We start from the raw sequence: 23,592 nt of genomic DNA, 5'->3' as shown, positions 1-23,592 counted from the left end.
TCTCTTCCTAGTGTTTCTTTTCCCTTTGGTTGTTTTGAGGTTTGTTGGTAATTTTTATTGAAAATCAAATATTTTATATGAGAAATAACTGAGGTATTGGTAGAAGTTATCTCCCTCAATAGTGAATTCACCCTTTTTGTTGGAAGGCAGCTAGAAAAGGGACACATTAGCTCAGTCCAGCCAAATGCTGAAATGATTGGGGTTGAGCTATACTCCTAGGAAGATACAGTCTACCTTTGATGTACCTCCTAGGATATTGCTCATGGTGGTTTACAAATGAAATTCTTGAGTGCTGCTTCCCCTTTAATGGCCTTAAATTGGAACTTTTACCTTTCCAGCATTACAATATGATTAAAAAAGAAACTCAGCTCTTCTTTTCACCTATTTTCTGCTTGACATTTTAGACTCCCTTTCCATGGAACTTAAAAATCAGCAAATATCTTGAGGGAAAAACTAGTGTTGAATGTTGGGTTTACTCCAGATCTCTAGTCCCTCCAGCCTTGGCTGCCTTGGCAGTCTCATTCCAATTTCGGTCTCCCCCAAAACTATGAAATTGCTGAAAGTTCTTCTGGGTTTTCTGCCTCTGAGCAGCCATCTTCTGCCCAGAATTTTGGCCTCTCTCCTATTCCTTGAGTTGAGAAATGATCTAAGAAAAAAACTCACATAAAATATTGGGCTCCCCAAAATGCAACTCTAGACTCTGCAATATGTAGGCTTCCTACACCATTTTTCTGATGCCTCCCTGCTCTCTGTGACACAACAATATTAAACTTAGACCAATTAACAACCTTACAATGGCCCCTGAGTGTTTACTTAAAAAGAATGAGTCACATGTATTACTTTAAATCAGAAGGTAGAAATAATTAAGCTTAGTGAAGAAGGCATGTCAAAAGCCAGGACAGGAGGAAAGTTAGGCTTCTTGCATCAAACAGTGAGCCAAGTTATTAATACAAAAGAAAAGCTCTTAAAGGAAATTAAAAGTGCCATTCCAATGAACACATGAATGATAAGAAAGCAAAACAGCTTTATTGCTGACATGGAGAACGTTTTAGAGGTCTGGATGAAAGATCAAACCAGCCATAACACACCCTTAAGCCAAAGCCTAATCCAGAGAAAGACCTTAACTCTCTTCAACTTTATGAAGGCTAAGTGAGGTGAGAAAGCTGCAGAAGAGCTGAAAGCAAGCAAAGCTTGGTTCATGAGGCTTAGGGAAAGCTGTCTTCACAACATAGAAATGAAAGGCAAAGCAGCAAATGCTGATACAGAAACTGCAGCAAATTATCCAGAAAATTTTGCTAAGATAATTGATGAAGGTAGCTACACTAAACAACAGATTTTCTATATAGACAAAATAGCCTTTTATTGGAAGAAGATGCCATCTTGGACTTTCATAGCTAGAGAGGAAAAGTCAATACTTGGCTTCAAAACTTCAAAGGACAGGCTGACTCTCTTGTCAGGGAATAATACAGCTGATGACTTTAGATTGAAGCCAATACTCATTTACCATCCTAAAATTCAGCTCCTAATAATGATGCTAAATGTACTCTGCATGTGCTCTATAAATGGAACAAGAAAGCCTGGATGACAGCATATCTGTTCACAGCATGGTTTACTCAATATTTAAGCCAATGTTAAAACCTACTTCTCAGAAAAAAGACTCCTTTCAAAATATTACTGCTCATTGACAGTGCTCTTGGTCACCCAAATGCTGTGATGGAGACATACAATGAAATTAACATTGATTTTCTGCCTACTAACAAGTAAACTTTTTTTCGGCAGCCTCTGGATCAAGAAGCAATTTTGACTTTCAAGTCTTATTATTTAAGAAATACATTTTGTGAGGCTATGGCTGCCACAGATAGTGATTCCTCTGATGAATCAGAGCAAAGTAAATTGAAAGCCTTCTGGAAAGGATTCACCATTCTGGATGCCATTAAGAACATTAGTGATTCATGGGAGGAGGTCAAAATATCCACATGAACAGGAGTTTGAAAGAAGTTGATTCCAACCCTCATAGATGACTTTGAGTGGCTCAAGATTTCAGTGGAGAAAGTAACTGTGTAAGTGATGAAAATAACAAGAGAACTAGAATTCAAAGTGGACCCTGAATACAGGACTGAATTGCTGTAATCTCATGATGATTGTGATTATGGATGAGCAAAGAAAGTGGCTTCTTGAGATGGCATCTACTCCTGGTGAAGCGCTATGAATGATGTTGAAATGACAACAAAGGCTTTAGAATATTACCTAAACTTAATTGATAGAGCAATGACAGAGTTTGAGAGGATGAACTTCAATTTTAAAAGAAATACTACTGTGGGCAAAATGCAATCAAATAGCATCACATAGTACAGCGAGCGAAATCTTTCCTGAAAGGAAAAGTCAATTGATGTGGCAAACTTCATTGTTGCCTTATTTTAAGAAATTGCCACAGCTACCCTAACCTTCAGGAACCACCACCCTGATCAGTCAGCATCCATCAACATCAAGGCAAGACCCTCCACCAGCAATAACATTACAACTCCCTGAAGGCTCAGATGATTGTCAGCATTTTTAGCAGTAAAGAACTTTTAAATTAAGGTCTGTATAATGCTACTGCACAATTAATAATAAACATAACTTTATATGCACCAAGCAACCAAAAAATTTGTGACTCACTTTATTGTGATATTCACTTGATTTTACTCGTCTGGAACCAAACCCACAATATCTCTGAAGTGTGCCTGTATGTACTTAATATTTGTTAGATTTTTCTATCTAATTTCTGTTTGGCTATCTACCATTTTATCTAGTCTGTAGTCAAATGGCCTTTAATTTTCCTCTGTAATTTTTAAATATACATGTTGCAGTATTAATAACCATAAAAATATTTTCCTGTTTTACAGGCTCTTTGAGCTATAAATGCCTTGAGAGTGGAGATTGAACTCACATTATATGAAGCATGAAGCCTGGGTTAAATAAGTCCTCAAAAATTAATCAGTAATATAATCTCATCAAATAATATTTGTCTTCATCAGTGGAAAAATTATTTTTTTATTGTTTTGCCATGTAATCAAGAACAATGTAATTTGTATGTGTGCACAGAGTTTAAGTAAACAATTCTCCCCAACAATTTATTTCTGGTATCTTTGGCTTGTGTGTTCTTTTCTAGAAGGAAACAGGTAGATAAAATTATTTCTCCAGACTCTTTTTAGACTTCCTCAGGAATCTATGTTCTAATATCTCTCACATTAGCACCTTTAACAGAGTTCCCGGTTAACAGAGAGTTAACATGCATCCCTCATACCTGGTTCTGTTTGGGCTGTGAGAGCAATTATAGGTCCCTAGCCAAGGATAACATCTAAAGTTGGACAAATGCTTAGTTCTTCCAATGCTGAAATGAAATATTTTTTCTTTCATCCATGATAGTACCTGATATTTCTCCAATCCTCTTTTCACTGGAAATGTCAAAGCCACGAACACAGTTATTAGGATACAAAATGGTTGTACTACCTGACCCCATAGTGTATCTACGACACAAAGTTTTCAGTATCCTCAGAAACACACTCTCAGGAAAATAGTATTAGGGTGGCTTGTTTGCAAATAAATCTCAAAGTGCCTTTTGCATCTTTATCGACTAGGAAGATGAATTAGTTTATGTCATATGAAAATCTAAAATAAATATAGTAAAAGCTCTGTTTGTTGACAAAGGAATGCTGGTCTTAAGGAGTTACGTAAATTTTGTTGGATGTGATATTATTATGTTTAAAAAAGAGTCATAATTTACTTGACATACATAATGAATTATTTATGCTTAAATAATATGATTTTAGGATTTTATTTCAAATAATTGGGAATATAAATACCACAAAATGGGGGCAATAAGTAGAATAAAAATATGTAGGAAGTTGATGATTATTCAAGCTAAGAAATGGTAGTTTTTCTTTACGCTCTTCACTTTTGTGTGTATTATACATGCTTCATAACAAAAACTTTAAAAACCTTTTCCCTTCTCATGATGAAAAAAATGTTAGTTTCATTTTTAAAAGTCAGCATATGAGATACTATAAGCCCTCAATACAACTGAAGAATTTGTTTTATAATTTTTTCCTAAACAACTTAAACTTGCTTAATTTTTTATAATTTGGTTCATCGTTAGATCAAATCATAATAAGTCTTTAAGAATTCTTTAAGCTCTGAAATCTATATGGGAAAAAATGAAAGAAATGTAAAATAATTTAACTAGTTTTCTCTGCAACATTTTATTGCATGAAAGGAGCACCTTTCACCCTCACACCCGTTTCTTTCCACAGGCTTTTGTCTAAAGACTTCTCTAAACCATTGCTAGCTTCTGTTCCTTGTTCTTCGATCTTTGTCTTCAATCTTACTTTCTTATTTGTCATATCATGATCTTCCTTAGCAACCGATACCTCTTCTACGCAAGTGGCTTATTTCTCCTAAACAAACATTTCTTGCTGCTGCTTTGTACTGACCCTACTAATTGACTGGATCATAATTCCCTGTAATACTTTCCTTTCTGATAACAATATTGCCTATTAACTCCTCTGCTAGGTTTTGACACCCCTCCTTACTCTGGCCTTCTTCTCATGTTTCATCTCTAGACAAATTGCCTTACTTAAGGCTTCTTTCCAGCCTTGATTTCCAGGTTCCTCGCATTGATTGTATGTAATCCATTCTGGTGTTTAACCAAGTGTTGCCAGTTTAGCAGTGGTATTCTCCATCTGCACGTGTCTCTGTGAACCTTCACCATATGCTGAGTCTCCTGGGTCTCAAATGTATATCACTATTAAGTCAAAATTGAGATAAACGTTTATTAACATTTTACATGTTTCCCAAAATGAGCCCAAGCAAAAACTCATTTCATATTAGCCTCCTCTAAGACTATCAACAATATAAAGGAAAAATGATCAGAAATACAGTATTTCTTATAAAAGCCAAACATAATAATTTCTATAGTAATTTCTAAAATAAGTCCTTATATGTCTTAATAAATCATTTAAAATATAGTATAGTATATTATTATAATTGCTAAAATTTGAGCATATTTTCTTATTGCAAATGATTCAGTTGTTTGGAATTATATTTTTATACTTTACATATAGAAACTTTTTTATATTTTTATATATAAACTTTCAAAATTATAAACTTTCAATGAAGTACAAAAAAATCAGAGAGCATAAAATAAGACAACCAATGTAAAAATATACATATATTATCACAATTTTAAGTTGGTTAACACTCATCTATTAAAATACTTTAGAACAAAACACACAAACAAAATATTATGTATATTTTCAAAAGCTACATTGGCTTATAACTTCCCATGTGTAGAAGGTAACTTGTTAGTTTTGATCATCCAAACTCCATTTCCCATTTCAAATAGAACCACAAATTTCTTTCTTACTCCCTAGTAAATGATCTATACTTCCATAATTGGATTCTATCTTCTGGAGATTTAAATATTGAAATGGTTATGCAAGGATAGAAGAAATACCATTGCTCATACAAAGTGGCAACACCCAGTCCATGTTGTTATAGATCTCTTCCTGGAATTTGTGATTCTTGGGTCCCCAAAATGCCTTGATTACAATTAATTTTCAAACCTTGCTCTCTAACCTTTTCAATAATTCTATAACTCCCTTAGGTTTTCAGCAAATTCAAATTCACTTATTAAGTTAGCCAAAATCAGTTTCACTTGCTTGCAAAGATCTGAATTGATACAGATATTGGTACAAAAATGAGAACTGATAATATCTAGGGAATTGTAGACTGTTTGGGACTGTGCTGTTGACATGGGGTAGAAGAGAAATACTTTCCATTAATATGTGCATATATGATTCCAGGATAGAAAATTTGGAGTCTTATAACAAAATAGCCAATTAAATATTTACTTATTATGATCTAGAACAAAGTCTTACTGAGAGCAAGTTTCAGAAGGAAAAAGTTGTGGGCACCATAAAATATTTTGAAGAGCACAAGAAATGTGAGTATCCCTCTGGTAGGGTGGCTGATTTCTATGACATTGCGAAAGAATGACAGGCTTAAAACCCCAAACTATCAAATTAAAATATGAACTGATGCTCATGAAAAAGTAAGAATTCAACTGATTCTGTAGTTTAGCACATATAGCCTAACTCTTTGCTTTTTATTTGTGGCCATAAGGCAATGATCACAAAAACAGTACTCTTAAAAGGGGAAAAGAAACAGGAAGGAATGACTCACTGCATCATCTCCTATGAAGCACTCTACACTGTCATTGCCTAAGAAAGAAATTATTTTTATTATTTGGAAGTTGCTCTTCTTCCCTGGCTTTAAAAAAAAAAAGAAAAAAAAAAGCTGCTGTTTCCTTGCCTGAGGAGTCTCCCTTATATGTGGTAATTATTCCTTTTCTGCCTTAAATCATTGTCATTAAACCAGTAACTAGAACCAGACTCAAGAATGCCTGGGTGTATATGTAAAACCAAACTTGTATAGAGAAGACCAACAAACCAAAAGAATGGCAAGAATTTGCTGGTTTATACTGTTATAAATCTGTTATTTTGGCCTTTAAGAGTACATCACCAAGGAAGGCAAAGTAAAATTTAGATTGGTCTGAATTTCTCAAAATCCATGTACTTTCAAAAAAATATACCTACCATATGTCTTCTGAAACACCAAGTATGTTCCTAAACTTTATTAGTATTTTTTAATGAACCTAGACTGAACATTGAAATTCTCTAAAGAAATGTGACATGCCAGAAATCCTATGGCATAGAGGCCAGAATTCAGAGGAATTTAAAAATAATAAAAATGGAGTTTTGCTTTTACCAATTGTATTAGTCTGTTTTATACTGCTATAAAGAAATATCTGAGACAGGGTAATTAATAAAGGAAAGAGAGGTTTAATTGACACACAGCTCAGTGTGGCTGTTGAGACCTCAGGAAACTTATAATCATGGTGGAAAACAAATGGGAAGCAAGATCTTCTTCACACGGTGGCAGGAGATAAAATTTCAAGCCAGGCAAATGTTAGAGGCTTATAGAACAATCAGATCTCCTGAGAACTCACTCACTATCATGAGACTAGCATGTGGGAGATGGCCCCAATGATCCAATCACCCCCATCCCTCTACACCTGGGGGTTACAATTCGAGATGAGATTTGGGTGGGGACACAGAGCCAAACTGTTATCACCAATCATGTATATTCCCTCTTTTCTCTTTAATTTTGTCCCTAAAGAGGGTTAAAAACCTATCTTTTGCATGCATTGGTACAAGAAGTGTCAGTATCCATAAAAGTTACTTTGTTGACTGTTCTGAAGCTTAGGAAGAGTGTGAAAGATAATAGAGTTAAAACAGGCTCCATAATCTTAGTGGGAATGAAAATACCCTGTATAGGTAGAGTCCAGAGGACAATACCAGAAGGAAAGTGGCTGAGATAACTATAATAGCTAGTGGTGATCAGAATAGTCTGAACTGTATAAATCTCTGGTGGTGGTTAATTAATCATGAAGTCCCTAAAAATAAATTAAACTTGTAAAATATTAGGGTTTTACTGTTTTATGTGACAAAAATATAAATTTTAAATTTTGATTAAAAAAAGAAAATAAGAAAATTTCAATCTGGGAATGTAGACTGAAAATCACAAAGAGGAGGCTAAAAACAAACAAAGTGATACATTGGCACTGACCCATCTTTTGCCATGGGAACATTTGTGAGTATTGGTAACCAAAAAAATTAAGCTTTAAGGATTTTAAAGGACAATTCACACACACACACAAAAATCCAATAAATCTCCTAAATAATCTCACATTAATTGGGAAAATGCAAAGTAAAACAAAACTGAGAACAAGCTTTGTACACATCAGAAAAGTCTTACAATATTAAGGCTTACACACTGTTTTGTAATTATATATTTTATACAACCTTATTAGAGAACTACTATCTAATAAAACTAAAGACATATTTTCCCTAAAACCTAGAAATTCTGCTTTTAGGTATATAAAAAATTATGTGTACAAAAGACATGCACAGAATGTTCACTATAATGTTGACTATAATAATATAGAAATAAAAACTGTAAATAATCTAAATTGTTCATCAAAAGAGGAAGGACAAATTATGACATATTCATACAATGGAACAATATGCAGTAGTTAAAATGAATGAAATAGAGATAACTTTACCCATATAAATACCAAAATTATAATGTTGAACAAAATAAACATATTACCTAAAGATGTACAAGATATTATCTATTTTAGATGAGGTTTAAAAACATAAAAAATCTATCTAGTGAGTATTAATGCTATATTTATAGAAAAATTATGAAAAATATAACTAGAAATCGTAAACCACAAGTTCAATAATTTGGGTATGTCTACAGGTGTTTATTTCTTAAAAATATAGAAGACCTGACACCTTTGAAGTGTCTTCCAGGAACCTTTATCATTACAAGTCAAATGATTAAAATTGATTCCTAAAAGAAGTCATCCCAAAGAATTCCTGGCATTCCATCCATTTTCCCTGACCCTTATTTCTCCTAGATAATCAGATCTTCAGAGAGTCCCCAATAGCAAGAAGATTTTCAGCAGATATGGCTTTTTGCCCTTGGACTTCTCAGCCTCTATAACTGCAAGAAATAAATTTCTTTTCTTTATAAATCAGCCAGTTTTAGGTATTCTATTATAAGTAACAGAAAATTGACTAAGACAATACTAAAACTTCTAGTCTATTAGATCAAGAGTCTCACAAATGGGTACTGTGGGAGACCAGAATATGCCACCCCAAAATATGAAGAATTGTGGAGGAGCAGATACAAGAAAGCTGTCTGACCTCCCTGTATTTGCCACAAAGCAGGACACAGATTTACAAAGACAAAAGGTATCCTGTCCCCGCTTCTACCATGGAGAACAAAGGTTAACCACTGAAGACAGCTTTGAACTCTTATCAACCTGAAGATGGTACCACAGGAATCTACTTTAGTAAGCTTTACTAACTAGACATTATCTGTCATGTATTTGCTTTTCCACAAGTTGACAACCCTGGAGACTCAGAGTCCATCTTCTTTGCTGTGTCACTTTTCTAAAAATTTACTGTTCTTTGTTGAAGGTGCTGTATAAACTGGAATTCAAAGCCACCTCTTTGAGAACTACTCATTCCCTGGGTGTCCCCCATGTGTGTATGAAATGTACATTTATAAACTTCTGTTTGTTTTTCTATCTGCCTTTTGTAACAGGGGTCCATTCCAACTAAAAACCGACGGAGATTATTCTTCTCCTACAAGTCAAAACTTTTTCTGAATCTGGCAAAAGGTTTAATAGTGAGAAGAACTTGCCTCGTGTTTATATCTTCAGTTTCCAAATCTATGGCTGTGAGAAAATTAGCACTGTTTATATTGGTCACCAGATCTACACAGATACTGCATTTTGTGACCCAATTATGCATCTGAGCCTTTGATATATCATTTTTAAATACTATACAGCCAGGTGCTTTTAGATATAGGAGTTATTTAGTGAAGTCAGAAATGTATGTGTTGTATTACTACATGCATCAGTATTTAGTAAGTTCATATAAGGTAATGCTTGCAGAGATATACTAATTAGGAAAAACAAATGTAAGTCTAGAAAATCTCCAGTGAGGACAGATATTTGATTCTTTCAGGATAAAAGTATAGAATAATTAGCCTGAAAACAGGGAAACAGGGAACTGACACCTGACCCCAAGACACAATACCATCAAGAATCACCAAAAAAATGAACTCTTCCATAATACCTGACTTGTCTCTCAATTAGGTAAGTGCCCTAAAATGTCTTCACATAGCAACTAGTACCATAGTTTTTACCAATATTTATTATAAATATTTTAAGTGTCTATTGTTACTATTTGACTAAGTGGTATGAAGAAAAGAACTTTACTTACCATGTTTGCCACTAAACTTTAAATTCCTAGGACAATGTCTGGCATGTAGTAGCTGCTTAGTAAATACTATTGAATGAGTGTCTGCTCAAGAATTGACAGATATCAATAAAATATTCCAGTTCATAAGAAAATAAAATGCATTATAAAAATTATATTTCCAATGATCAAAGAAAGGATTTCAATTTAATAATAATAGATAACATTATAGAGTGTTTGCTACTTTCCAGGCACTGTTTTAAGCACTTTCTAGTAGATTATCTCATTTAACACTCAGACACCCAAAGAGCTCACATTTATCATTAGAATGGTTAAGTACCTCAGATTTTGGTCCACAGACATATTTTGAGGATTTACAAAATACAATGTTAAAATTTTGAGTGCATTAAGATGAACAATATGACAGAAATTCATAATACACTCTCCTCACCACCTATTGCATTTTACTTGCCAACTTCAAGGTTTTTTGTCACCTGGCTGGTGACCAATGCCATAATAAGTAAAAGTAATTGCTACTTCTTTCTACTCACACGGTAATGATCTTCCAGCTTTCTGCAAGTGAGTGACTATAGGTAGTATTCCCCAATGCATTAGATGCAGAGAACCTATTTGCTGCAGAGAGTGGAATAATTAGTTTTTTTTTTAAAGGATAGTTTAACTTACTAAATATAAGGGTGGGGAGGGGTTCCAAAGGCAACTTGTATTGGTTGTGATAAAATTTCCATCTTGGGTAGAAAAAAATATTCCTAAAGGAAGGTGAAATAAGTACCCACCAAACTAGCTTAAGAACAAAAGCTAGCCATATGCAGAAAAAACTGGCTAGCCATATGCAGAAAACTGAAACAGGACCCCTTCCTTACACCTCATAAAAAATTAGCTCAAGATGGATTAAAGACTTAAATGTAAGACCTAAAACCATAAAAACCCTAGAAGAAAGCCTAGGCAATACCATTCAGGGCACAGGCATGGGCAAAGACTTCATGTCTAAAACACCAAAAGCAAGGGGAACAAAAGTCAAAATTGGCAAATGGGATCTAATTTAACTAAAGAGCTTCTGCAAAGCAAAAGAAACTATCATCAGAGTGAACAGGCAACCTACAGAATGGGAGAAAAATTTTGTAATCTAATCTGTCCATCAGACAAAGGGCTAATATCCAGAATCTACAAGGAACTTAAACAAATTTATAAGAAAAAAACAAACAACCCCATCAAAAAGTCGATGAAGGACATGAACAGATGCTACTCAAAAGAAGACATTTATGCAACCAACAAACATATGAAAGAAAGCTCATCATCACTGGTCATTAGAGAAATGCAAATCAAAACCACAATGAGATACCATTTCACACCAGCTAGAATGGAAATCATTAAAAAGTCAGGAAACAACAGATGCTGGAGAGGATGTGGAGAAATAGGAACGCTTTCATACAGTTGGTAGGAGTGTAAATTAGTTCAACCATTGTGGAAGACAGTGTGGCGATTCCTCAAGGATCTAGAACTAGAAATACCATTTGACTCAACAATCCCATTACTGGCATATCCCCAAAGGATCATAAATCATTCTACTATAAAGACATATGCACACGTATGTTTACTGTGGCACTATTCACAATAGCAAAGACTTGGAACCAACCCAAATGTCCATCAATGATAGACTGGATAAAGAAAATGTGGCACATATACACTATGGAATACTATGCAGCCATAAAAAAGGATGAGTTCATGTCCTTTTCAGGGCCATGGATGAAGCTGGAAACCATCATTCTCAGCAAACTAACACCAGAACAGAAAACCAAACACTGCATGTTCTCACTCATAAGTGGGAGCTGAACAATGAGAACACATGGACACAGGGAGGGGAACATCACACACCACGACCTGTTGGGGGACTGCAGGGCTAGGGGAGGGACAGCATTAGGTGAAATACCTAATGTAGGTGATGGGTGGATGGGTGCAGCAAACCACCATGGCACATGTACACCTATGTAACAAACCTGCACGTTCTGCACATGTATCCCAGAATTTAAGTATATAATAAAAAAAAAGCAAGTGTCTGTTAATTCAAACTCTAGTTCTTTCTGAGGCCATAAGTGTTCTATTAAGCGCAAGTAATACAGTTAATTTATTTCAAAGAAAAAAAAAGAATAGTAGTTTGATATAAAAGCAATTGGATGGCTCTGAGTTTAGTAACTTTTCTCCAGCAAGCTCCTAGTTGCTGAGTGGAGAAAATGAAACTATAGCAGATGTTACTCATGGTCAAAGGCAAAACCTTAGAGGAATTTATTAATACCTTATACAGCTCATGGCACAAAGTAAAGCCCTGATCCATTCAAATCCTTATTCAAAAGACAGAGTTTAATAGCTCCGACAAATATGTAATTTCCCAAGTTCCTCTCAATTCCTCCATCTTCCAGAAAAACCTAATTAATTTACTCACTCATATCATACCCAAACATAGATGAGGGTGATACAGAAGGCAGCAAAGAGGTTCTTATCTGAAAAAATAACTTTGCTTTTGCCCTAGAATTTCTCCTCTGGCTTTCTTCTTTGAGCTTATGTCACCTTAAATTTTTGAGCATGCAGGAAGGAATCCAAGTGTTACTAGAAATCTTGGAACTTCAGTTTCTTCCTAGGTCCAGCATTATCACATTATTGGATGTCAACAAATATTCAGGATTATATAGACCACAAATTATCTTGGTAAGAAGTGAAATGTCAGAAGCTTCTCAGAGGGTGGCTCCCTTAACCAGATAAAATTCAGTCTTGAGAGCCACGTATTTCCTAACTCTGGCACAACAGGACTCTGGACATTAGAATCCTTCCCCAAATACCTTTGAAGGCATCCTAACATTTACATCTACCTGAAAAGTCCTAGTCAGATTTCAAGTCAAAATTCAAATGTACCCTTCTCAATAAGGCCTTCACAAGTTCATTTCATCACAATTTGTCTCTCTTTCTCAACCCTCTTAAGACTTCGTTTTACTCCTATAAAATTGTCACCTTTGCCATATGCATTTTATATTTGTTTCCTCAACCAGACTATAGCCTCTGGGAGAAAAGATCAGTTTTGTATTCAGCAACTTATTGAATGCAATTGACTTCATAGATGCCTGAAACTCTTTGAGGAAAAGTACAGTATTTTTTACTCTTTCAGTCTGTTCCAGTCAAAAGTTGCTCACCTATGGCAATCACACATGAGGTACCCTGGACCCAAACCTACCTCAAAGTTAGAATCAGATAGCTCACCAATGAAGAAGAAAAAGGTCTTAGTAGTTTAGTTTTTCTCATTGACTATATCTTGATGCAGGTCTCACTATTACCATCACTTTCATTTATTAGTAACAAAGGTGGTTGGTAAAGTGCAGAGACAAACTGTTCATGTGGGGAAAAATATTCAAACTGGAAAGTATAATCCACAAATTAGGAAACAAGGGAAATTGCTTCACATGACATATCATGACACTCAGGAAGTACATTTCATAGGAAGGAAGTTATTAAACAGCATAGGTGACTCAACTAACACCTAATTTTTGGAAGCAATCAAGAAAAGTAAATACAAATGAGAAGTCTCTTAAAATGGATTCCAATATTCTAATAACTTAGAAAAAGACACACTAACTAAAAACCCTGGATATTTTTCCTAAATAGATATTCAATTTTCCTCTTGTTTATAAATCTTCAAAGATTAATCATAATGGATATATTTTTCTAAAAGAACATTTTAAAAGGGATGAATCCATTTCTTGTCTCTACAGATATAACTGTTTAAGCAAAAGAAAAAACATCATTAATTCCAAGAGCTATAAAATTATAAAATTTTATGTAACAATGATAATAATGCATAATTAACAAAAAATAGCTAATTCTGAAAATAACAATGTTTCTACCATAACAAGGAACTCAAACATCTAATGCTTTTAACTCAACTATTCAGTCAGAACTCAATTTGAAATGGTAGTGAACAGGAGGCAACCTTGATAATGAACACAGCAGTAAGTTTATTATTGTTACTGAAATGTTATTTTTAATTATGGGAACACTACGTACTTATTGTTTTAAGTATCTTTACCATATATTTATTGATAATAATCACGAAACTGTATAGAATTAAGATTTCAAAATTCCAAAACATAAAGCAGCATATTTTACTAAAGTTCTCCCCCAACCCACACCCTCAAAATACTTCACTTCCAGAAATGCACTTACTAACACCTGCTAGTATAATTTTGGTTAATCATCGCTACTAAAATGTTAGTAAAAGTTGAAAATAAGTATCATCTCTTCCACAGTCACTAGAGTATTAACTCTCCTCTAAATCAATCATGCAACTATTATACAGGTTCTAATGACCAGATGTCTTATGCATCCTCAATCATCTGATAGCTTAAGAAACAGTCCCCAGATAATTAATTGATTTTTTTTCCCTTTCCATTCTTTCTGAAGCTCATGGGAGTCCACTTATATTAAGCAGCAGGAACAGAATAGAACTTTTCTGACATTCAGAAAGACTTTAATAAAGCATAGTTTGAAATTCAGCTAAAAAATTCAACCTGTATCAGCACTGGAATTATCCTATGATCGTTTTGCTGCTAAATGGTAGACTCAAACACATGGTGCTATGCAAACCTGTGTCTCTTTAAACCTCAAAGATTTCCATTAGGCTTTTATTCTGTATGCTACTTCCTCTTGTCTCCTTCATTCTTTTTTTTTTTTTAAATTGTGGTAAGAACGTTTAAAATGAGATCTACCCGTTTAACAGATGTTTAAGTGCGTGTGAGTATTGTTATCTGTAGGCATAATGTTGCACAGTAAATCTCTGGAATTCATTTATCTTGTGTAACTGAAATTGTATGCCCGTTGATAAGGAACTCCCTCTTTCCCTCTCCTGACAGCTCCTGGTGACCACAATTCTATTCTTTGTTTCCATGAATCTGACTATTTCAGATACCTCATATAAGTGGAAGTATTTGTCTTTCTGTGACTGTCTTATTTCATTTAGCATAATGTCTTTCAGGTGTATCTACGTTATCATATACTACAGGATTTCTTCTTTTTTAGGGTTAAATCATATTCCACTGTGTTATATAACACACTTTTAATCCATTTATTTGTTAGTATACATTTAAGTTGTTTTCACATCTTGATTATCATGAATAATGCTACAACGAACATAGACTCCTATGTATCTATTCTAGTATCTGTTCAAGATCCTAATTTCAATTCTTTTGAATAGGTACTCAGAAATGGAATTTCTGGATCATACACATATTTTAATTTTGAGGAACCTCCATACTGTTTTCCACAGCAGTTGCACCATTTTGCATTCCCACCAACAGTGTGCAAGGGCTCGAATTTTTCCATATCCTCATCATTTGTCTTTTCTTTTTATATATAACAGCCATCCTGCAAGATGTGAGGTGATATTGTGGTTTTGATTTGCATTACTCTAATGATTAATGATGTTGGGCATTTGTTTCATATACATGTCAGCTGTTTGTATGTTTTCTTTGGAGAAATATTCATTCAAGTCCTTAGCCCATTTTTAATTGGATTGTTCATGTCTTTTACTACTGAGTTGTGGGAGTTCTTTATATATTTTGGAAATTAATCTCTTATCAAATATACAGTTTAGAAATATCTTCTTCCATTCTATAGATCGCTTTTTCACTCTATTGATTGCTTTCTTTACTGTACAGAAGCTTTTTAATTTAACATAATTCCACATGTCTATTTTTGTCATCTCCATTCTGATAATATAAAATATACATTCACTATGGATTCTAAATTACTGGTCAGGTAAAGAGTATGGGTTAATCAGTTCATCACCTCTTTATGCCATTCTTTGCGTATTTATTGAGTACGTGCAATGTGCCAGACACTGTTCTAGACACTGCAGATAACAATGGTGTAAAAGATAGGCCATGCTCATGCAGAGCTTATTTGCTTGGGGGAGAGAGACAACAAAAATGTAAAAAAGCAAATATATGTGGCAAAATGTCAGACATTCTTTGTTTTGTAAAAAAAGAAGCAGGATAAAGTAGTAGAGAAAGACCAAACTGCTTTACTTTATTGCTTGTATTCTATCCCATTAAATCCACTTAACTTTAAGGTTTTTTTTGTAAGATAAGTAGCAAAGCCATAAGTAACGAAGCAAATTAACCAAAAGCATGGGATTCAAAGAGCTAATCAACACTAATCAAATTGTCCTTCTGCTGACCTGCATGAAAATCTGATGGGAGAGCAAGGGGACAGAAACCCTCAAGCTAATCACCTTTTAAATTTCTGAAGATAGGTAATTCTTTATTCTTTTTTATTCTCTTGAAGAAAGTTAGATTTCTGAACTAAAAATTCCAAGATGAAAATAAGACATTTGACCTCTGCCACCATATTCTTTCATTCTTCCCATCTATAATTCTGAAATCCTTAGGTATAAATATTAAGGATTTACCAACTGTTAAGTATTTATCAACTCATACTATCTTCCTTTAAAAAAATCAAAGGAACTTATGAAAAGCTTACATAAGGATTTTTGTTTGTTTTTTAATGAGAAGGCTTATGACTGACATCATTTAGTACCTTAAAAATGCTATCCAAGTTCATTTTTATATTGGCAAATGAAAAGTACCCTTATATCAAACATGATATTTAATCACAAAATGTTCATAGTAAGCATTGTCAAGAAAGAAAACCTGGATTCAATCAGCATGGCCTATGAAAGAAGCTAGGATGTTAGTATCTTGCGGCTAATGGAACTTTGGTAAAGTAATGCATTTATATAGTCATGGTGTTTCTGCAAAAACTATGCATTTTATGTAGATTAAATCAAAATATTTGGGGGAAACTCACTAATGAAAATGCCCTGTTGTTAGAAAAGTTAAAAGTGAATAAAATCTACCACCAATCATGAACTTCATTATTTTCTTTTCCTTTTCAATGACATCCCTCAAAAAGGACACTCAAACTGTCCTTTTTGAGTCTATCTAGTATTCTACTATTGAGTGTGAATCTGTTTCTTTTTTTTTTTTTTTTTTTAGACGGAGTCTCGCTCTGTCTCCATGCTGGAGTGCAGAGTGCAGCGGCGCGATCTTGGCTCACAGCAACCTCTGCCTCCCGGGTTCAAGCGATTCTCCTGCCTCAGCCTCCTGAGTAGCTGGGACTACAGGCCCTCACCACCACACCTAGCTAATTTTTGTATTTTTAGTAGAGATGGGGTTTCACCATATTGGCCAGGATGGTCTCAATCTCTTGACCTCATCTGCCTGCCTCGGTCTCCCAAAGTGCTGGGATTGTGAATCTGTTTTTTTATGATAGGCAAGAAAGGTAGGGGCAGTCAGCCCTATGATACAGGTATCTGATTGACATATCTGGAGCTGCCATTTCTTTCCTTGTTTACTAGGTGCATACATATGGAATATTTGAATGGAGATGCAGCCCATCAATGGCAGCTACTGCTGCTATTTACCTAAACATCTCTAATTCTATTCTGTGTGTGTGGAAGGACTGGACTTCCTGATCCATTTGTAGGTTGGTAAGGCCATGTGAGCAAAAAGGAAGTGGACTTCAAAGAAATTTCACTTTAATATGATGTATACACCTCTTATGTGAATTTAGCTCTGTTTCTAAACCAGAGTACTGAAAGATATTTAATATGAACAGCCATAATTATAAGCCAATTTTTAAAGTATTGGAGTCTAGAAATAGAAATATTTGCCTGTAAGCTTATTTATACAAATATGTAAATACTTAGATATTTCAAAATGTTTTAAAGCTATTTTCAGTATAATATATACATTCATTGAGAATATAAACAACAATATCACATTTTATTTTTACTTAATACATGTGTAACAGCTACGAAAGGAATTCAAAAATTCTAAGACTTGCAGAATTGAGATAGAAAACAGTAAATAAAATACATAAATGCATCAACAAAATGACTATTTTTAATATCTTGATTATTCAAATGTGGCATCTGTTAATTTTAAGAGATAGCCACTCACTCTGACCACCTGGGTCCTTGCTCTCCTTTTTAGCATTACAGCATTTTAAAATTATTCAACATCACATTCTGAAAAACAGCATATAACCATGATTCATTGGGCAGGTGATTTTGTTAATACCTTGAAAGATAACTGAATCTGTCTTTAAAAACTTTCTTACAATAAGTTTCATTTTCGTTGATTTTGGTGAATGCTGAAGTATTCCACTGTAATGAGCCTAGCGAATTATTCAGGGGGCAGTCTTTGCCACAGTAATAGAGAATCTTTCACAGCTATCCTTAGAGCCCTTTAGACAGGCCTCAGACAAAGGAAACCACTAGGTTTAGTCTCTCTTTTTCATCTTCCTTCTACTAATTTCAGTGTTCTATTTAGAGAGGTGCCCTCAACATGGGGGGAAAGTCATGAAAGATCTCAGGGGATCTTCAAAATGACTCAATCCACATATTTTGCAGGAGAGGGCACCAGTATTCACTGGGCATATTCTAGAAGGAATTTTTCATAGAACTTTAATCTGAAGAAAATCTTCTAATAAGTCTCCAAAACATACTAATGGTTTATAAGTTCAGAGGATCTTTTCATGTCACATAAATGTTAGGTGAGAAGAGCATTACCGCAGCAGAATATTGTTTAGTGTTTTTTTTTCTTCTCTACTAATAAATTACTCAGATTTGCTCAGCGGAAAAGTTAAAATTTGGCAATTTGTGCATTTGCAACAGTTTTTTTTTTTTTTTTGTCAAAGTTAATGTTATGATCTTCAGAGCTACACAAATACTCCCCGAAGTACTGTTTTAGTTCTGTGATATGTATTTTTTCTTTCATGTGTTTTGCTTAAATGCATAACTCATAACAATAGCTACCATATATAAAGTAAAAAATGCCTCATGTACATCATACACCAACAAAGTTACAAAAGATGGTGTAAATTCTAAATATAGTTGAGGAAATTGAGGCTTAGATAAGTTAACTGCTTACAATTCCATAGTAAGAATTGGAATGGTGATTTGAACCAGAGCTTTGATTCTTGTGTCTTATCAAAATATTATTACAACATTATTTTACATATATATTAGGTGAATAACATATGACATATATAGTATAATATTTTGTCATATTTTGCTTTCTCAAAAATATAGTTGATACTAACCTTGAGAAATAACATACATGAAATTTATTACTTTCCAGATACAGTGGATCTGGTATTAACAGAATAATTATATTAATAATAATAAGTTCTTGGACAGGGAGATGGTAACTGGAGGCAAGTATATTAACAATATTTGTGTTTTATTGTATTTCAGCCAAGAATAATCAATGAGGTAGAGAGAGTGTGAATCTGAACTACTAAACTAAAATTTATTCTGAAAGTCAGGAAAATGTAATACTTGGTTAAAACTATTTCCTCTCATTGTTCTAATGACACTTCTCTCCTTTACTGGAATTTTTAAAGTATTGCTACTGTTTCTATTTTGAAATAGCACACTAGAATCTTTGAAAGACCACATTTTTCTGCCTTTTCATCACTGCACATTTGAAAGCTTGATGTGACAAGATTTGATTACAGGTCATTCTGTTCTTTTTTTGGGAACCAAAAGTACCATAAGTCTCAAAGAAATTAGTTTGTGAAGTTTTGATTTTTTTCATCTCTCATCCCTACCCATATTAAATTTTCCTTATCATTGTACACAAGTATGGAAAAAAAAGCAAAACCACTGTATTAAAATGTAATCCTACAATTATTTAGACCGTGATAATTTGTGTGGCAAAAATCTTTATCACCTTAAGAAAACATTCTTCTACCATACTTATCCTAGTACATGGGAATGTATTTTTAAGGCATGGACAAATTAAAAGAGGAGAATTTAAACGGCATGGCCTTGGACTCCATTGTAAATTGAAGCTAGGTAAAGAGATTGAGATATATTTAGAATTATAATGTGAATTAGTGGGAAAATATGATTCAATTTGCTAAAATTTCTAGGAATGTGGAAGAGGAAGGTTATTAGCAGTGGACTATACTGATTTACATTTATGTCACTAGAAGCAGATGTAAAACAAGAAAACTAGTGAAACCTATCAAATGATAAAAACAATTTCTCCCTACTCTTCTCAACTGGACACATACAAGCCATGAGAAAATCCGTCTGGAAACTTGGCAGTAGAAAAATTCGGCTTTTCCCGAGTTCCTCAGAACCGGTATGGCTGACTAGGCTTGTCCCTAGTTGGGAGTTAACTTTATAGCATCTTGTCTCATTTACCTGACTTTCTGGGCTGAGCTTTGACATGCTTGTCAGTGGACCTTTTATCATTTTATAGGAGATAAATTTTCATGTTACAGGAAGTATTTTCTCTGCTCACTGACTTTATAGTTGTTTCAACTATATCCTACTAATTATTTTACTGTAATAGAATTATGCTGTCTTGATTTTTAACCCCTGACCAGTCAGTCTTCAGGGAATTGCTTCATTGCATTATAATTTTATCTTTTATTTATTATTCTTTCAACAGTATTTAAAATTTAGATTTTTTAACCTTTATGTGTATGTTATTAGTCCCTAAGTATTACTTTACATAACTTTGTTACAGTGCTTTAAATTATGGCTTTAAACTGCTCTTACTATACACCCCAAACCTCTGACCTAACTTCTCCACTGAACTGCAGATCCATATATTAACTACTTTCTGGAGACATGTACTTAGACATCCCCAAAATGTTTGAAACTCAAGATGTACAAAGCAGAATTCCTTGATTCCCCATTAATTCTGATCTACCTGTCTTCGCCTACTGGAGACCCAGTGTCTCATAACAAGAAACTTGATGATAATCCTTGAATTTACCTTTTCGTCAATGACCATAGCCCGTAAGTCATCAAATTCTGCCAATGCTACTTCCTTAAGCTTTCCCTATACTTTGCCTCTACTGCTTTAATCTCTCCCTATGCTTTACCTCTACTGCTAGTGATATTACCATAGTTTGAGTCCTCATTATTCCTCTTCTCTTCTGGACATGAATTCAAAACCTATCTGCAACCTTACTAGTTGTGACTTTGAATAACTTTAACCTATCTGAACCTAAGTTTTCTTACCTGTTAAATAAAATATATTAAATTCTGCATACTGGTTTGTTTGTTTTTTTTGACTATAAATTGTGTTAATATAGGCTAATCACGTGGGCAATGCCTAATTTACAGTAAGCATTCATTAAAGCTGTATTTGCGATAGCTTTTTATTGATATATCAAAAAATACAACTTGAGAGACTACTATGTTTCAGGCATCTGGCAAGATAGACAAGTAATTAGGCAATTTTAATACATGTTGCAAGTGCCCCAGTAGGCATGGACACATGGGAATACACAGGCAGGACATCTAACCAAGTCTTTAAAAATCTTGGAGATTGATGAGTAAGCTAAAAGCTGAAGAATTAGTAGGAATTAAAAAAGAGGAAAAACTTTCAGGAGATAGAATGGCATGTGGCAACAAGTGAATGAACAAGAGATTTATTTCTAAGTCTTTAAATTTAGTATTGTTGAAGCCTAGCAGTCATAAAGAGGAGTGGAAAAATTATTATTAGTAACAACATATACGTGGACTATCCCCAAAATAAATAAAGAATCCTTCAATAATAAGAGTGTAAAATGAGATAAATACATTAAAAATTCATGCATACACATGTATGCATGCATATGAACACACACAAACACAGAGAGAGTTTCCCTGTATTTCTCAAATAATTAATGTAGTAGGTAGAAGATTCCATGCATAATTACAAAAAGTACACAAAATATGTAGGATTATAATATAAATATAAATGACTATAAAGAAAATGATGAGCTCTATTGAGGATATCTATGAGATCTTGAAAGACCGATGGAGATTCCATGTATATGAGAGGAAAATCTCAGTGTTATAAAGATACCAACTCTTTCAAATTCAACTTTAATGTATAGTAACCAAAATCCAATGAGCATTTCATGCATTTATTTTAATATTAAAAAGATGTTTCTAGAATTCTTTTGTAAAAACAACTTTTGATAAGAAGAGCCAGTGAATTTCTGATAAAGAAAGTTAGAAAGGAATACTTGCCTAGATAAATATTAAACCTAATATAATTGACAGAACAATAAATAGAGGAAAAATACCCTTGAAACCACAGGTATTATATATACATACATATTATATATAATATATATATGATTTTTGTTCATAGTAAAGTTAGACTGTAAATTCAATAAGAAATAAGTAATTCAGTAAATAATGTGGATATTTCTATTTACTTCACAAAACTTGAATGAAACTAAAATAAAGTTATATTCTACCTCATATCTAAAATCAAAGTAATTCCAGAAGGAAGAAAGCATAGATACATTTGTTTAATAAAATTTGAGTGGAACAGGTACATCCTTGTACAGCACCAAAAGCAGGAAGTACCAAAAAATGGATAAATTTGATCACATAAAAACCTTCTTCAAAAAATTAAAGGAAAACAACAAACTGGGGTGGTGCTGTTAGCCACCAGTTGTGAAAATGCATGATGATGTGTAGTTGTCACTGTCTTGCATTATACAGAGTTCTTAGTAAAGGTATCTGGCAAGCTGTAACGCTTAAGGAAATCATGTCCTTCAGTTCTGGACATTTTTCTTGAATTATGTCTTTAATTATGTTCCTTTCTCCTATTTCTTCTGTCCCTCCTTTGTAAATTCCTATGATTTTAATATTGGATTATTTGTACTAGTCCTCTAATTTTTTTCCCTTATTTTTCATCTATTTATCTTTTTGCTCTATTTTCTTGGGAAGTTCCTCAATTTTATATTCTATTTCTTCTAATGAATTTTCAATTCTGCTATCATATGTATAATTTCCAAAACTCTTTTATTTTCTAACTTTTGTTTTTAGCATCCTGTTATTATTTAACAGATGTAATATACTCACTTTCTACCTTTAATCTATTTCTGCCAAGTTACTTTTGCTTTGGGCTCTGTTTCCTTACAGAACTAATATTATTTTGTTATTTGCTCCTATTTATATGTGGGAAGCAAAAAAAGCTATACGCATGAAACAAGTAATCAGCTGTTGGCTACAGGATAATTTACCAGGTCATTTCAATAAGAAAACCCTCACATCTTAATCTTTAGGTCTTTCTATTGTATTGTTTAGATTCTCAGAGAACACACTATAAATCTGCTTCCTAGAAAGAGTAAGCAATTCTGTGAAAGGGGAATGGAAAGAAGTCTGGGGAACTGCAATATTAAAAACATAAACTTTCACTTAACCCCCTTTTAACCATAGTATCACCTCCCAGCTGGGACTAGGTTCTACAGTAAAAAGAATAAACCTCTGGTCATCTCTGGAGAGAGAAAGTCTTCTTCCTGAGCAGAATGGAAGAGAAAATCAAAAGGTCCAACTGATTTTTAATCTGATCTTCAAACAATTAACCATATTTACTACTACCTCCAAGGTAACTAACACTGCCATTTTCTGTAGTGTAAGTTGGAATGCTCTGGGCTTTCTCCATAGCAATCTTACGATTTAATTTTCTCAAGTCTGCATCATTTACCACTTATCCATCTGCTTTCTAGCTTCCAAAGATGTTTTCATTTTTTTCATTATTTAATATCATTTTACAGTTTCAGGAGGAAGCAGAACCAAATGAAAACATAATGAGTGGTTCAACATACCATCTTCAACAAAGCAGTCCTA

General features: G+C 33.8%; 1 long non-coding RNA gene across 2 annotated transcripts in view; it reads right to left on the bottom strand.

Moving 5' to 3' along the window:
- LOC105377356 (uncharacterized) overlaps positions 1 to 23,592 on the bottom strand; it is a 288,441-nt gene that overhangs the window by 61,316 nt on the left and 203,533 nt on the right. Inside the window, exon 5 of one of the 2 annotated variants that reach the window (XR_939053.3) lies at positions 4,616 to 4,783. The exons of the other annotated variant lie outside the window; for it this stretch is intronic. This is a non-coding gene — a long non-coding RNA (uncharacterized LOC105377356). Of the gene's footprint in view, positions 1 to 4,615; positions 4,784 to 23,592 lie in introns of those variants that run through there. 2 annotated transcript variants of the gene reach the window in all.

The sequence above is a fragment of the Homo sapiens genome, chromosome 4 (genome assembly GCF_000001405.40).
Source record: "Homo sapiens chromosome 4, GRCh38.p14 Primary Assembly".
Classification (NCBI taxonomy): Eukaryota; Metazoa; Chordata; class Mammalia; order Primates; family Hominidae; genus Homo; species Homo sapiens.
This window is presented reverse-complemented; position numbering and strand designations above follow the sequence as displayed.